The sequence below is a fragment of the Homo sapiens genome, chromosome 5 (assembly GCF_000001405.40).
Source record: "Homo sapiens chromosome 5, GRCh38.p14 Primary Assembly".
Classification (NCBI taxonomy): Eukaryota; Metazoa; Chordata; class Mammalia; order Primates; family Hominidae; genus Homo; species Homo sapiens.
Genome location: NC_000005.10, coordinates 58,702,021 through 58,718,565, shown reverse-complemented (window position 1 = coordinate 58,718,565; position 16,545 = coordinate 58,702,021). Strand labels below are relative to the sequence as shown.

General features: G+C 37.0%; 1 protein-coding gene across 2 annotated transcripts in view, besides 2 other annotated features; it reads right to left on the bottom strand.

Annotated features, from left to right (window-relative positions):
• RAB3C (RAB3C, member RAS oncogene family) overlaps nucleotides 1-16,545 on the bottom strand; it is a 277,243-nt gene that overhangs the window by 140,829 nt on the left and 119,869 nt on the right. The window lies entirely within an intron of this gene.
• Nucleotides 204-1,185: an enhancer, noted in NCBI's record as "OCT4-NANOG hESC enhancer chr5:58013208-58014189 (GRCh37/hg19 assembly coordinates)". NCBI's record gives its function as "activates a minimal SCP1, AML or CMV promoter by ChIP-STARR-seq in naive H9 embryonic stem cells {active_cell/tissue: H9 hESC(naive)}" and the evidence as "EXISTENCE:reporter gene assay evidence [ECO:0000049][PMID:30033119]".
• Nucleotides 12,844-13,013: an enhancer, noted in NCBI's record as "experimental_86593 CRE fragment used in MPRA reporter constructs". NCBI's record gives its function as "activates a minimal promoter by MPRAs in K562 erythroleukemia cells, with activity observed for the introgressed 5:58001465 variant allele {active_cell/tissue: K562}" and the evidence as "EXISTENCE:reporter gene assay evidence [ECO:0000049][PMID:34662402]".

The following is a 16,545-nucleotide window of genomic DNA, read 5'->3' as shown; positions in this document are numbered from 1 at the left end:
TTCTAAGTAAAACCTAATAGAATAAGCCTGAGGCAGAAGGATAAAACCTGACCTATTATTTCATGGCAGTGTTACCATGGCAATTCATCTTTCCTGGAAGAGAGGAAAAGCCATAGATAGCTTTTTTATAAGGGGCCTTTGACTCCATTTTCAGTAATACCCTGACAGATCTAACAATTGCATGTTTCTGCTCATGAAAGTTGGAGATGGTTTTCAGTAAATGCTATTTAAACACTCAGAGGAACTCTCTTCAAGACCTTAATAAAATTTACAGCCGAAAGTATATAGAGGCATCTTTACTTATTTTATTTCAGTGCTTGTTTTCTAAGAATGTTTAACACAAAGGCAGGAGAAGACATCATTTTTGCTTTCCTTCTAATTAATCTTTTTGACATACTTTTTCCCAGTGGGATTTTGATTACACTCAATTTTTTCAAAACCTGCAGGATAAATACATAAATGCAGGCAGCTTACAGCTTTTAGTCAAGGTTGAGAATTGTTTTTCTTCACAGAACACAATAAGAAATGCTTGCATTAGATCAAATGCATTGCGTTTTAAAGGATAACAGGCTTTTGAATGGGACTTTTACTATTGCCCTAAAATAGGCAACTAAGACTCAAACCAGACTCTTTGTAAAGGGATGGGCACTTTCATGCACACAAAGCCATGTGCCGATTGGGCTCATTGAATAGTATCTGCTTAAACAATGAAATTTTGATCGGCTTTTGTGCAAGAGTACTTGATACCTGGAGAGAGACAGCAGGGTTGAGGAAGGGGAGGCAGTGGAGAAGCCTGATTTCCCACAGGCTAGCATGGCTAGATTATGTGAGTTTCCCATGGATCTGTAAACACTACAGCAGGTAGCTGCACTTGAGACGTTTTGCCATTAAGCCATCTCCAAGAGAGCTGTCTCCTGGATGAGGTGTGGAAAGCTATGATGTATATTAACAGGGGCAGAAGGGAGCTGAAGAAATTTTAAAAGAGAAGGAATCTGAGCAAATCTTCCATGTCATGGCACTATGCAGCGAGAGAGCCCTAACAGGCTCCCTGAAGGTCCTCCATAAGGGAACCAGCATTCAGATGACCAGCATTCAGATGTCTGTCACACAGAAGCTTGTCCTGTGGGTGGCAGGACAGGCTTCACTGAAGAAGCCAAGAAAGAATTGTAATTGCACATCAGGTTACGTACAGTCATCTGCCCTCCCTTCATCTCCCAGCTCTTCTTCATCCCTGATTTTGAAACAGCAAGAGCTACAAAAAGAAGGGACAGAAAGGGAGGATCAAACTGCTCTTTTGATTGTACTACCAGTCGCTGAGAATATAGTCAGATTTATGGTAAGGGAAGAATATTATTGTTAAACTGGATATGACAATTTTGCCTTTTTAAACTGGGCTCAACAGTACTGAGATTTGTTTCTGTCTTAATAATCAACTTTTTAAAAAGCAGTTTTAGGTTCACGCAAAACTGAACAAAATACGGAGATATCTCATAAACACCCTAGCCCCACACATGCATAGCCTCCTCCACTATCAACATCCCCCACCCGAGTGGTGCATTTGTCACAACTGATGAACCTACAGTAACACATCATTATCACCCAAAGTCCATAGTTTACATTAGGGTTCCCTCATGGTGCTTTACATCCTGTGGTTTTGCAGAAATTTGTAATGACATGAATTCACAATTATAGTATCATATGGAGTAGTTTCACTGCCCTAAAAGTCCCCTGTGTTCTGCCTGAGTTGTTTTTTTTTTTTTTTTTAATAAGAGAACAATGACTGGAAATACTATGAGATCTATTCGAGTCATGGTTTGGGGATGGGTACAGGTGACTGGGCAGAGCACGATCAAAAACAGGGTTTAGATAAAACATCAAAGTATACCACAAGTTTAGGCTTTTTACCGAGCAAACTACCAATAAAATATTATAAAAACAACATCAAGAATGTAGACTTAAACAGGGTGTTACATATATGCACATTCATATGTATCATGCCATTTATTTATTCTGAAGCAGTAGACCATTTTTTAGATGATGAAACTGAGAAATAAAGAGGTTAGGTGCCAGTTCTAAGTCACAGTGCTGGGAGGTGACACAGGTCATACCAAAGATCAGCTTTTCTCAAATATCCAAAGTCTAGTCCTCTTTCTGAATATTAGGTTGAATAGTGAAGAAGTTAGGTTATAGTTTTTTTTACTTTGGCTTTCTGTTTGATGTTATCATCTCGCTTTTGAACCTTTGTTCATGTATGTGCTTTAGATCTTTTTCAGCTTCGTTATTTCAAACCCCATTCATTTTTCAACCAATTGTAGCTGTGTCCAGTGCTAAGACTCTACTGAAATTGTTCATGCTAAAATAATCAATGACCTCATCACTACCATATCCAGCAGTTTAACTTTTGGTTCTCATCTTACTTGTCTATTCTAAAACACATGGTATAGATGATAACCCCTTATTTCTTTTTTTTTTTTCCTGCTGAAAGACTTTTATGTATTTATTTATTTATTATTTTTTTTCCTTTTCTTTTTTTTTTATTGTACTTTAAGTTATAGGGTACATGTGCACATTGTGCAGGTTAGTTACATATGTGAGTTAGTGGGTGCAGTGCACCAGCATGGCACATGTATACATATGTAACTAACCCCTTATTTCTTTAAATTCACTCTTCCAGGGCATGACGCTCTCCTGATTCTTTAGTCTCTCTAAGTTTTCTTCTTCATGTGGCGAGCTCCTCTTCCTGATTGGCAAGCTTCCCTTTCTGCTCACCTCTTCATGGTGCTGTACAGGCTTCTGATCTTCATTCTCTCTCATCGTCTTGTATGATGCTACCAGATACTACACTTTCTTCACAATTTGAAATGTAATCTATAAATATAATAGTCCGCTTACTAGGAAACCTTGACTACACTTCTGTATTCCAGAACCATATTTTCATCATGGGACACACAGATATCTCGAATTTAACTTGTGCAAAAAACTAAAGTCAATGAAATTCTCCAAAATCTACTGTGTCACCGGCACTTAAAATCTTTAATCACAACATCAAAACTCACAAATTTTAACAAGCTGAAAATGTTCCACCTATTCAAGATTCTTCTTCTTCTTCCTTCATTAATTCCCTTCCGTACTTTTAAAGATACAATTAGACAAGAAATTATCTTTCCTTAAGCTTAGGTCAGTCAAAGCAAAAGAAAAAAAATCACCTAAGATTTTTCTTTATTGCAATATTTTTATTCTCATCAGCAGTCACAACTTTGTCTACCCTCTAGGAAAAAAAAAATACTTTTAGTCCTGGAGAAAAGGCTAGTAGTATCTTCAAGAAGAAAAAAAAAAGATGCACAGGAAACTCAGCCTGTGGAATTAAATACGTTTTTGTGGAAAAGAAGACAAAAGTATAATTTAATAGATCATATAGTATTAGAAGCCAGGAAACTTAGATTCTGGTTGAATCTCTGGTACTTGTTAGAAAAGTGACTTTGGTTATCTCACTCGACTCTCTAGGCTTTGATTTTCTCATTTATAAATGAGAAACTACATTTTCTAAGTCCTTTTCAGCTCTGAATTAAAATATATTTTTCTTTCTCATAGTATTTTTGATACAGTGGATCAGAATCCTTTTATCAAGAAATTGGCCCACTAATATTTTCTATAATAACCACTATATTTATTTGTATATTTACTATCTTGTTCTATGACATTTGGTCTGATTATGTTATGTTTCTTTTTTTCATATCCTGCTTTCTCTTTGGTTGAAAATTTTCTATTTTGTCTAATCTCATTCATCTCTTTATTAATTTGGAAGTTATGCCTATAATAAAGTGATTATGAAAATGTAGAAATTTATATTTAAAAAAAACAAGCAATATCTTTAACTTCATTCTCCAAAATTCAATTTTTCAGTCATCCATTCCTATCATAAATCATAATGTTGTACAATGTTTTATATTTTAAACTACCTTGATTTTTTACTCCCTAAGTCAGACACTTTTTAACACAGACATTATTTATTTGTATTTATCCACATGTTTTCCAGTTTCTCTGCTCACAAGTTTTTCTTGTATCTCAAATCCTCCTTTCATGTTTTTGAAGTGCATTTTTTTAGAAATCCCATTGGGGAAGGTCTGCCGGTAATAAATACTTCTTTTGTATGTCCAAATATATTTTTGTTTAACCCTTACTTATGAATAATGTTTAGCTGGGTATATAATTCTAGTTATAGTCTATCTTCACTTTACCACATCATTCCATTGTCTTCAGGCTTTAGTTGATACCATTGAAAAGTCTGCTGTAAATCTAATTATTGTTCCATTTTAATCACTATCTTTATTGTGATAAAGACCTCATGACTTCCATCACCATCCATACTACCATTCACCTCTTGTTCAAAACCATGCTATGTCTTCCTATTGGCTAGGAAATAAAGTCCAAGTTTCTTAGGCTCTTTTCCATTTGTCCCCAACATATGAACTATCATTACTCTGAAGCTACTTTTAGGAGCTTCTTTTCATCTTTGGTATTCTGTAGTTTCACTGTGATGTGGCTACATTTACATTCTTTTTACATGTGCTGCTGGGGGAATAACTGTGCTTCCCAATTTTGAGGATTATTATCTTATAACAATTCTAGAAGAAAATTTCAGTTATTAACCCTTCAAGCTACTTTAACCTCATTTTAAAAATGTGTTTATTTTAGAATTCCAACTATATGTAAGTAGATAGGGTAACCATACGTCCTAGTTTGCCCAAGAATGTCCTGGTTTATGCCTGTGTTTTATCAATGAATACTTGGTTAATTATTGTCTCAAAAGTCCTCTAGCACCTGTTTAATTTATGTTTAAAGTCAGGTGAGGGTTTATAAAGCAAGTTCTTAATTTCTGATGTATTTTAAAGATTCTTGTTATATTACCATTGTCAATTCTAAAGAGTTGAATGTTTGCAAAAGTTCTAAAGCTCAGCTGATTTACACACTGTAAACATGTTCATTTTAAAATAAAACCAGTGAGTCTGCCTCTAAAATAAGAATATTTCTCTGCCATGTGCAGTTCTTGCCCTGATTCTGACCAGCTTTCTCTAGTTAACTATTTTGAAAAGTGATTGTGTCACTCATGTAGGTCAAGATCACAGGCTGGTATCTGCCTCACAGAAGTGGCCTGTTTGATTAACGTCGTGTTTAAAATTCCTTAAGCTAACATTTTAAAATGTAAATTTTTTACACAAAAGCCCAGATTTCTAATTTGTTTTGAAAAATTTCAAAAGATGGTAAAAATGGTTCCTGCATTGCTGTGTGGCCATGGAGGACTACAACTAGTAGCAGCTGCCACTTTTGTACTCTTATCTGGCTGTCTTTATGTTGTTGACTGGCCCCTGAGGTATTGAAGTTTAGAGATGACCCCACTACCTCCATCACCATCTGTACCACCACTCACTCCTGTTCAAAAACAGTCTATGTCTTCCTACTGGCCATAGAATAAAGTCCAAATTTCTTAGGCTACTTTTTATTTGGCTCCAAGATCCCTATCCAATTTTATATTTACATTTATACTTAGTATGTGTGTTTATTCTTTTGTTTTTGATCCCTTCATGTCAGAATTTGGCCATGTTTCCCAGCCTGTACCTATGTTTTCTTATCTTTGTCTTCTTCATTGACTACACTCCTCTCACCCATTTGACCTTGTGTTTTCATGTTCAAGAGAATCCACATATATCTTCAAAAATAAAAATAAAAACAAAAATATTCTAGGTCAGGCATGGTGGCTTATGCCTATAATCCCAGCACTTTGGGAGGCTGAGATGGGTGGATCACTGGAGGTTAGAAGTTCGAGATCAGCCTAGCTAACATGGTGAAACCCTGTCTCTACTAAAAATACAAAAATTAGCCGGGCATCATGGCACATGCCTGTAATCCCAGCTACTTGGGAGGCTGAGGTAGGAGAATCGCTTGAACCCGGGAGGCAGAGGTTGAAGTGAGCCAAGATCGCTCCACTGAACTCCAGCCTGGGTGATAGAGCCAGACTCTGTCTCGAGAAAAAAAAATCTATCAAATGGCTATTCTTTTTTTTGTAGACAGTTTTAAACCAAGAATAAAACTAGTTATTAACTTATCCCAAACAATTTAGTGCCTAGGTGAAATTGATGTTTGGACTCAAAATTGATACAAAGCAAAAATTATGTTATTTAATCAATATTCTTAACCTAACTTCTTAATGAAAACCAACCAAACATTAAATATCTATATACCTAGCATTGTGTGGGGTACTGAGAAAAATACAAAGTAAACATCTACGAGATACAACCTAGAAATCAGAAAATTTCTATTTCCCATAAACTGGCAAAATGAAGCACACAAAGCAATCTGAGAGCCTGGTTGTGTGTGAAGTGTTTATAGTATGACGTAAGTACTAGAGAAATCAGAGAAAAAACAAATCAATGTAAGCTGAAGTAAGCTCCAGGAACGGGGACGGTTGGTGCAGGTTTCCAGTGATGGGTAGATTTTGATGGGCTGAGGGGTGTTTGTTACCACACGAAAATCACAATCATGGCAAAAAGGCTGACACTGATGTTCATCTTTTGTGCATTTTCTACCATTTTTACATTGTAAGAACTGAAACAATATTCAGGTATTGCAGAGGCTTCTGTTTGGCATTGAAAAATTCACCAGGCACTGCACATGCACAGTATGATGATCACACCCTCCCTATCTTTAAAACTATAGTATCCGAGGGGATGGTGGGGTTGGAGGGAAGGTACCAAGAACAAATTCTTGTGTATTCCAGAGGAGGATCCACAATCTGTAATGGAGGAAAGAAAATGTAATATTTGACATGGTATCAGTTATATGACCCTGGGCAAGTAATTAAACCCCTTTGAGTTCTTGCTTTCTAGCTAAAATAATGATGATATCATCTATCTTCTCAAGATTACTGTGAGAATTAACGTATGTAATGCTTCTTGTGCATACTAGGTGCTCAATAAATGAGACTCCCTCTGCTTTTTTATTCAGTAATAGCAATGTGTGGCACAAAGAAAGGGCTTTGGAGTTAGAACACCTGGGTTCCTACCCTGGCTCTAAGACTCACAAGCAGGGTATCTTCAGAAATATCATCTAACCTCTCTGTGCATGTTTCCTGATTTCCAAAATGAAATCAATACCTAATAGTGAGTTGAACTGCAAGCCATAAATGAGAAAAGTTCTCTGTAAAGTGTAATATGCTAGAGGCAGCATCATCATTATTGATCATGTTAATGAGTAAAAAATCGAAGCGAGCCTGTCAGATCCCAGTAGAAAGTGTCTGTTAAGACAAAACTGGATTGCACAGTGGAACATTGTTTCTTGCTCATCCCACTCCCAGGGGAGAAGAGAAAATAAAGATATTTGTCCTTCAGGATCAGCCAGAATTCACATGCTCTCCTTTTCGCTCTCCATGCCTCCTTACATAAAAGGAGAACAGAATGCAAAGATGAAATACGCAATTAAATTCTTTTCATGACTATCATCTGATTATGCTTGCTGATTTCTTTAAGGTCTTCTGCACATTCTTATTTTTATGATTGCTTTGATCCTCATGGAAACAAAGGGCCTAGTGAATTATATGAGTGTTCCAAGATTAAAGCAGATTCCCGCATCTCACATTACTTTGAGTGACAAGAATCAGTAAGTATTATGTCTGGTGATGAACTCCCTAAAATAGATAGAAAGAAAAAGGGAAATGAAAATGTAGAAATCAGATGCTAGAGAACTAGAAGCTGCTGCAGCATCTCATCATGTACGCCATAGAGAGAGCGAGCACATAGCTGGCTGTGCAACAGATATGAAACAGGAGGATAAAATGGCTGCCTCTCGGAAGAGCAGGGGAAAGCCAGGGAGAAGATACCAGAGAAAGGGTGTCAACGTTGGAAAAGCTTCTCTTTTTTAAAATTTCTATTTATTTATTTATTTATTTATTTATTTATTTATTTATTTATTTTGAGACAGAGTCTTGCTCTTTTGCCCAGGCTAGAGTGCAGTGGCGTGATCTCGGCTCACTGCAACCTCCGCCTCCCAGACTCAGGCAATTCTCCTGCCTCAGCCTCTTGAGTAGCTGAGATTACAGGCGTGTGCCACCATGCTGGGCTAATTTTTGTATTTTTAGTAGAAATGGGGTTTCGCAATGTTGGCCAGGCTGGTCTCGAACTCCTGACCTCAAATGATCCTCCCACCTTGGCCTCCCGAAGTGCTGGGATTATAGGTGTGAGCCACCACGCCCGGCCTGGAAAAGCTTCTTGATTTGACCTGAAATAGTACTACTATTAATAATGATATACATTTCTCTTTATAAGTGGGTCCAATTTACTTATTAGTTGCTTTTAAAATAATATTTCATCTTAAATAATTCTAAAACCATAGTGGGATGATAGTACATTCAAATGGAGTATCTAAACATCAAAAGCAATTTTGAGTGGGCCAGTACTGTCTCACAAGTGGTTAACTTGGTAAAAAATATTAAGCCTATTTGTCTGGCATTTGGGAAATGATGACACTCAGACCAAGGCCTCAGACAGCCTAGTGTACTTTCATGTGTGAATTTAGTGACCTCACATTTCTGTATGAGATTATACAATATCAAACTTTACAAGGCACAAAGTTACCCACGGCCTCCTAAGATCAATGATAACAGCAAATGAGGCTTCACCATCACACAGCTAATTAGAGAGAAACCCTGGCTTTTCAATGACTTGTTTTTTGGATATGTTGAAATCATCCAGAAATGGCTTCAATTGCTGTTAAAGTAATTCTTTTCCGTTCAGTTCTGATCAGACACCAATGAGACTGGCGCTCGGATCCATAATTGGAGGACATGAAATCAGAGGCGTGGGTCAGAGGCCAGCTACAAAGAAGACGAAAGGATTGAGAGATGCACCTATGGAAAACAATTCAACAACAATTACGGGCCAGGCTTGATAAACCTCAGAAGTCTGAAGAGTGACTTCCTACCAATTCTGAGGATAGAAGTCTTTCTGATAGAGCATACAGCATGGGAAATGGCTTTTTTCATTTTATACATCTTCATTCAAAACAGAACTGGAATTTATTGGGGAGAACTGCGGCCTGATCATTAGCTGCAAGGATTAAGAAGCTAGAAAGGCAGACATCTCAGTTTGAGGACTGGACTGTGAATTGTGGACTCGCCTCTGTGGAGGAGGTGCTACCCCTCTGGAAGGTAGAAGGGCCTGGGTGGTGTACAGAGGGTGAGTCCCATGGGCACCCAGGGCCACTTTAACACTGTCACTTTGGGTGCTGCTTTTGAAAATGATAAAATTTGACTGAAATGCCAAAAGACAACAACATGTAAAATTAAGGCCAAACTCTTATTACAACTTGACACAATTTAAATATAGAATAACATCTACAGAATGTATTCAATATGAATTCTCTTTAGGGGTTAATTTCTCTGCTAAGGCAGAGAAAACAAATTTCCAGAAGTTATTACACATGAACCAACCATATTATTTCCAGATCAACAGAAAATAAGAGTAAAAAGCCACAAATGAGAAAGGACCTATATTGATTTATGTGTGAAAAAGAAAGCAGACAAGCAAGTATATGCTATATAGCATACATCTGTACATTGACATTTTAAATTTAAGAAGAAAGACGAGGTAGGACTAAGAATGTTATTGTTGGAGAAATAAAACCCATGTATACAGCAAAATTTAATTCTTTATTTTCATATTATTTTGCAGTTAACAAAAATCACTGCTTCACAAATAAACCAAGTAGACCTAAATCATTTGCCAAACAATCTGGCAGTCCATAAAAGCATTTTTCCCACATTTAAATTTCACTGACAACATGACTGTTGGCATGAGAAACCTGAAAGGGAATTAGTAGTCTGACTATAATTCAAATTCCTATTTCAATGCAAAAAGTTCTTTCAGGGATTGTGTGCCAGACAAATGTATTTTTCTTACCCTGTAAACAGACTCTACTGCTTGAATTGCTTGGTAGCAGAGTCAGGGAGCAGATGCACTGGCCTCTACTGATCCTTCTCCTACAGGAAAGACAGAAACTTCTCCAGCTGGGTGCCACTCTGTCTGGATTATGCCAGGCATGATGATCATGCCGTGCTAATAAGGTCAGGGTCTGATCCCTGTGTGTTCTTCCCTCTGCTCCAAGCAGCCCAGCTACATGCTCAGCCTGGTGAATTATTTCACAAATGTGAGAGCAGGCAGATGGGCAAGGGTGTAATGCTAGATTTGCCCAGATCCATCATCGTTCATAGAAGGATGAAGGAATGGGCCAGGCATGGTGGCTTATGCCTGTAATCCTAGCACTTTGGGAGCCCGAGGCTAGAGGATCACTTGAGCCCAGGAGTTTGAGACCAGCCTGGGCAACATCGCAAGACCTTTCTCTACAAAATGTAAACAAATTAGCCAGGTGTGGGGGTGTGCACCTATGGTCTCAGCAACTTGGGAGGCTAAGGTGGGAGGATCGCTTAAACCCAGGAGTTTGAGGCTACAGTGAGCTGTGATTGTACCACTGCATTCCAGCCTGGGCAACACAGAGAGACCCTGTCTCAAAAAGAAAAAAAAAAAAAAGGAAAGAAAGATAAGGGATGATTCTTAGTACCCAAAGATGGTTGCAAGCTGCTGTAGAACATGCCCAGGCGGGGCAGGGTTTCTTCTCTTTTGGAACCAAGCAATGAATCCTAGTAAAGCACAGAGCTGGCTGGGGGGAAAAATAGAGTGAAGAGTTTCCCTATCATTCATTTTCAGGGAAGTTTTAGGAGACCTATTCCTTCTAATGAATTTATTTATAAATTACATTTGGCAATTTAACATAGTGCTCCTCTCAGAAGTTCTCCCTTAGTAGATTTGGCAGCTGAGTCTGGGAATGTGTACCTTCTCCAAGCACCCTTGGTCATTCTGATGCTGGCAGTCTGATCAACGTGGGATAATTGTTAAGAGCAGGAATTCTAGGGCTGGATGACCTGTGTTCACATTCTGGCTCCACTCCTTACTGGCTGTGTGATGTTGGGCAAATCAATCAACCTTTCTGTACCCCAGTTTTCTCAACTGTAAAATGAGTTTCTCTGGAAACCTAAGGTTGCTATGAAAATCAAATGAGCTAACACAGGTAACTTGGTTAGAATAGGACCTCAGACACAGGAAGCATGCAACACCTGTCAGCTGTTATAACTCCTAGCTGCTCTTTCTTTATTTCTAAGTTTCTTTTTCATGTGCAATGTTTTATACATCAACATATTTCATGTTCATGATTTGGGTTTATTATATCTCTATAGAATTATCCAAATGTTATGTATGATATCTAATTTTTGGATGTCCTTTTTAAAAAAGGTGTGATTACAAACTACTGTTAATCTCTCTTATTTGAATAAAATTGTATTTTACAAGGAGTGAAGATACAGGTTGTCATTCTTTGCTCAAATATCATCTTTTTTCCAGAAATGGAAATAAGATTACTGCTATGGCCTTCCAATTTGCTTAAAGTTGACAAGCAAAAAACAATGAGCTTTAAAACTTCTGCCAGAGGACCCACTTCAATATGGAATGTCCAAGGCAATCGAACAACAAATTGAGACAAGTAAATAAAAACTGGAAACTGTCATGGAAAGAAAAGCAGGCAAAGGATGACTAAAATGTTGTCTGGGCTTTTCTCCAAACTGGCTTTGGCAACGGGATGAAAACCCTTTGTCTCAACGGTAAAAATGATTGGATATGTATAGATTTTGACTCAAGATAGAAACTAATAAAAATGGGCTGCATTAGAAATTGGTGAGTACTTTATCACAGGAGATGTTTGAACATAAGAATGTTAAGAATGAACAACATTAAGGATGTTGTAGAAGAGAGTTGTGCATTCTGTAAGAGGTTAGATTACACAACCACAAGAACACAAGAGACAAGTTGCAGATGGTATCAAGGTTGCAAAAATGAGGTATTGGAAGGCTAACATTATTAATCAATACAAATAAGTAGATAAGTTACTGCAAGTCTGTGGAAAGATAAGAAGCTCGAATGTTAGAGATACTTTATTTTAATCCTAGATGAAAACTTCTAAGGAGAGATATTCTAAAACCAACAATGTATAAATGGATATATTCTCATTATATTACAACTCTACCTTTTCTTCCAATAAGTCTGTTGTTACTGCTTTTCTGCTTTTCCTATCCTATAAATTTCAGTGTGTCCATGAGGGAGACTAGCCACTTATTTCTAAATAAAGATATGAATTTGAGACGAATGCCCAAGGTGGCCACCGAAAAAAATGCTTATCCAGAGGTGCTCAAACTCTGACTTCCGATGCTACTGTCCTACAACTTGTAGCTGTAACTGATGGATCTCAGTTCTCAATTAGTGGGATAGTAAAGCTTATCATTCAACATGGCCACCATAAACTATTCCTAAGCAACAACAACAAAAGTTTCTGTACTTGCCATCTCCTTTACACTAACTCCTAGATCACCCAGTGGTTGTTTGTACTTGATTATTTTTATTTGCATTTTTAAAAATTCATCTCAAGTAACTTTCAAACCATCAGAAAAACATCAACTGGATGTACCAAAAATGTAATATCCAGTATCTCCTAAGATTAAATGAACTGCAAGGGTACTAGGAGCAATATGAAAGTAAGGGGTGGTGGACTGGGCAACACAGGATCAAGTGCAGCCTTATCTCCCATCATAAGAAGATGGATACTCCAGGCATAAGCACATTAATGAGTAAAATTTAATTTGCTTCATTTCCAGAAACAAGTTAAATAAGGTTAGGAAGCAAAGGGCTCCTTTCTAAAGAAAGACAGAGGGAGGGATGAAGAGAGGGAGAGAGAGTGCAAGTGGGTAGGGGGAAGACAAAAGTGCTTGGGAACAAGTCATTGTAACCAAGGAGTCCTTTCAATAAAAAAATGTGGGCATCATCTACTTCTATTCCATAAACACAGTTGCAAGAGACTTATATTCTCCCTCAAAAGAAAATTTCTCTTTAACCTTATTAATATTTACTGAAACACATGTTTATCTTGGATTCTGAATTCAAGTACCTCTTAACTCCTTTCCTAATAAATAGCAAATCCAAATACCATAATGCAAAATTTGTCATCAAAATTTTTTAAGAATTCATAAAAGAAAGCCAATTATTTGTAGATTTTCAATAATGTCACTTAATAACAGTATTGCAAAACTCCTGACCATAAGACAGAAGAATCTAGTTCACATTTGGACTGGGCACTTCTTTCCAATTGGTGCAATGGAATTCGCTTGTGAGAAGCTGTTTTCTTCCTGAAGGTAAAGGTTGCTTTGCCTACTTATAAATACGAACTTAAAAAATACCAGATGTATAGTTATTCTACTAGTTGTTTATTCTAAAAGTATGTTGAAAGCAGAGATTCACTGAAGAAGTATCTTTCTACCTTCCTTTAGTGTTACATATAATGTGATGTCATAAATAACCAGATGGTTAAAAAAATTATCAAAGATCCAGGAAAAAAATTATCATAGTGATATTTAAAAATAATAAATTATTATCCTGTTTGCTTCAGTGAAATTGTCTCTGAATATAACATTGCATTATCACTCACTTTGAATCTACCATTCATAAATTTTAAAGTAAAAGGAAACTCATACAATTATTAATAGTTAATGCTGAAAGTGCTCTCTGATTTGATAACTTGAGTTTCTTATTGTGCTAACTAATGGTGAACAAGAATCAGCCTTTCTGGTGTTTAGCTATAAGATCACCACCCCTAACTCAAACTGGAACTAAATGTTCAAACAGAGAATGAATAAAAGATACAGAAATTTTTTAAAAAAGAAAGAAAGAAAAAGCTAGCACCCCTTTAAACTTCTGAAAATATGGCAACCAAAATAATTCAGATAAAGGAAAAGTCATTTTACCTGCTTATCATGTTTTTTATGACCTTTTAATGACTGTTGTTCTGAAATGGAATAGAATCTCAACCCCAGATACATTCAGCACAGATCATTTGTATAGCATTTCTTTTGTGTATCTTTACTAAAAAATTCTCAGTACTTTCAAGAATTCTGTTTGCGATTATATTCAGCTATTTAGATTACTTTTCACCTCACTAAACAAGCAGAATTTTTTCCTTTTCAGGAAATAGAGATATTGATGCAGTTTATTCTATCAGAGTCCTTTAATTTGGAAGTCTAGCTGCTTCCTCTTATCTGAGTACACCAGCAGGCAAACTTGAGCATTATGAACCACAAATTACATGCAAACTCCAAGCAGTATGCAGTTAGCAAAGGAGATTTCATGGCTCTGTAGTTTTCATAATTACATTAAAGCCAGGAATGTTTCTCTTCACACACCAAAATGCGTTTTTATAAAGAAATTGATTTCAGGATTTGTCATTAGAAAGTAAATAAGCAAAGATTAAAGTGGCATTTACTGTGATGAAATAGTGGCTTAAAATAGGTAAGCCAGCAGATATAGTAAAGTTTGCTCCAGTCTGGAATAGGGAAGAGGGCTTAGGACTTGGAATCAGAGATTCTTTCTGGGTAAAAGGTTCAATTCTTCTACAAACCTGCTCAGTGACTTGTGAGAGGTCATTTCATCTTTTTAGTTTCCTCATTTGCACAAAGATGTGATTAAATTACATATTTTAAGGTCTCGTTTGGTTCTAAAGACTCCTGAGGTTAAGCCTTTTTAAAGGAACTGATTTCTAGGGAGAATTTACATTAACACAAACTATTAGTGCTCCCAAATAGCTGTTTAGAACATTGATTTTTACAGTTTTATAAGTTTAGTGTAGTGATGCTCAAATTTTATTACGCATCAAAATTTGTTAAAAGGGGGACATTCCTGGGCTCCATGATTAAAGACATATTCAGTAGGACAGGGTAAGCATGGGAATCTGAGCTTTTAGTAGCCCTCAAAGTGATTCTCATGTAGTTGCACGGTGGACCTCACTTTGAGAATGGACTAGTAGCTTGAAAAAAGTAAAACAATTTCTCCAAATTCTGGTTTCGTCCCTGGTAAACTGTCTTAATAGGGTATTAAGGCACAATAATAATTCCAAATAAAAACTTGTTTTTCATCAGAAATATGATTACAAAAGAATAAACATGGCCAGACGCGGTGGCTCATGCCTGTAATTCCAGCGCTTTGGGAGGCCAAGGCAGGCGGATCAGCTGAGGTCGGGAGTTCAAGACCAGCCTCACTAACACGGAGAAACCCCATCTCTACAAAAAATACAAAATTAGGTGGCTGTGGTGGCACATGCCTGTAATCCCAGCTACTTGCGAGGCTGAAGCAGGAAAATCGCTTGAATCCAGGAGGCAGAGTTTGCGGTGAGCCGAGATCACACCATTGCACTCCAGCCTGGGCAACAAGAACGAAATTCCGTCTCAAAAACAAAACAAACAAAAAAAAAGAATAAACAAGATCTTATTCATCAGGAGAGTCCAAATTTGGCTGCCAAATATAATTTTGGTTGCCACGTATAATTTTGGAAGAATTCCTTACTTATTTTATTAAACGTTATTTACATTTCTTTTCATGGAAGTCATCTTTAATTACTATATATCCTGAATATTCATTAAACCAATATATAGGTTGCCTTGTATTTTTCCGTCAAAAATTGCTGGTTATAACTTATACTCACTATCCAGGTTAACGTCAAGTCCATCCCAACAGGTTCCAAAATTTTACAGCATGAACCTATTTCTGTTCAGTAAAGTGTGTAGATTTAGATATCAAAAAGATTAACTGAAAATGTGTAAATATTATTAGTTCTCTCTGGAGGGTTTGTTTAGAGGTAGGTTTAGCTTTCTGTTTATTCTTCTGTATTTTCAAATTTTTCTACAAAGGCTATTGTATCTCTTATTATCTTTCTTTTAGAATGAAATAAAAAGAAAAGGAGAAAGGGAGGAAAACAGGAAAGGAAGGAGGAAGGCAGAAGAAGGAGATGGAAGAGGAGGAGAAAGAGAAGGATGTGTGTGTGCAGGAGAGAGAGAAAGAAAAAGAAAGAGAGAGAGAGAAAGGAGAATGAGAGACTACCTGGCAAGTGCTATAACAGAGACAATACGGGAGGCTGGCAAGACGTAGGTGTGCAGGTGCCTGGAGGAAATCAATGGAGTCTTTCTAAAGAAAGTAATGTTTTGTGTTGAGCCTGTCAGCAGAAATGGCATGTAAGCTTTGTAGGGCAAGAATAGCCTAAAGTGCATGAGGCATGAAAGAAAACAGCCTGTTTGGGATCTAAAAGTAGTTTGCATGGATGAAGCACACACAGCCTATATGATGTTTAAACTGTGGTTTGAAACCCACTAACAGGCCAGAAACTCTGTGAAATGGGTCACGGACAGCATTTTACAAATTAATAGGCTATAACAGAAATTATGAAAGTGAATTACACATAAGAGTAAGTGCCAAATTTTGTGAAGATTTTCATGTGTGTGAGTGTGTGTGTAAATTAGATAATGATGTAAAATATATATTTTTAATTGTAGGTTGAGATCAGAAAAATTTGAAGCTGTTGCCGAGGCCTGGGAAGTCATGAGTGCTCCATGCAGGAAAATGGCAGGACCAG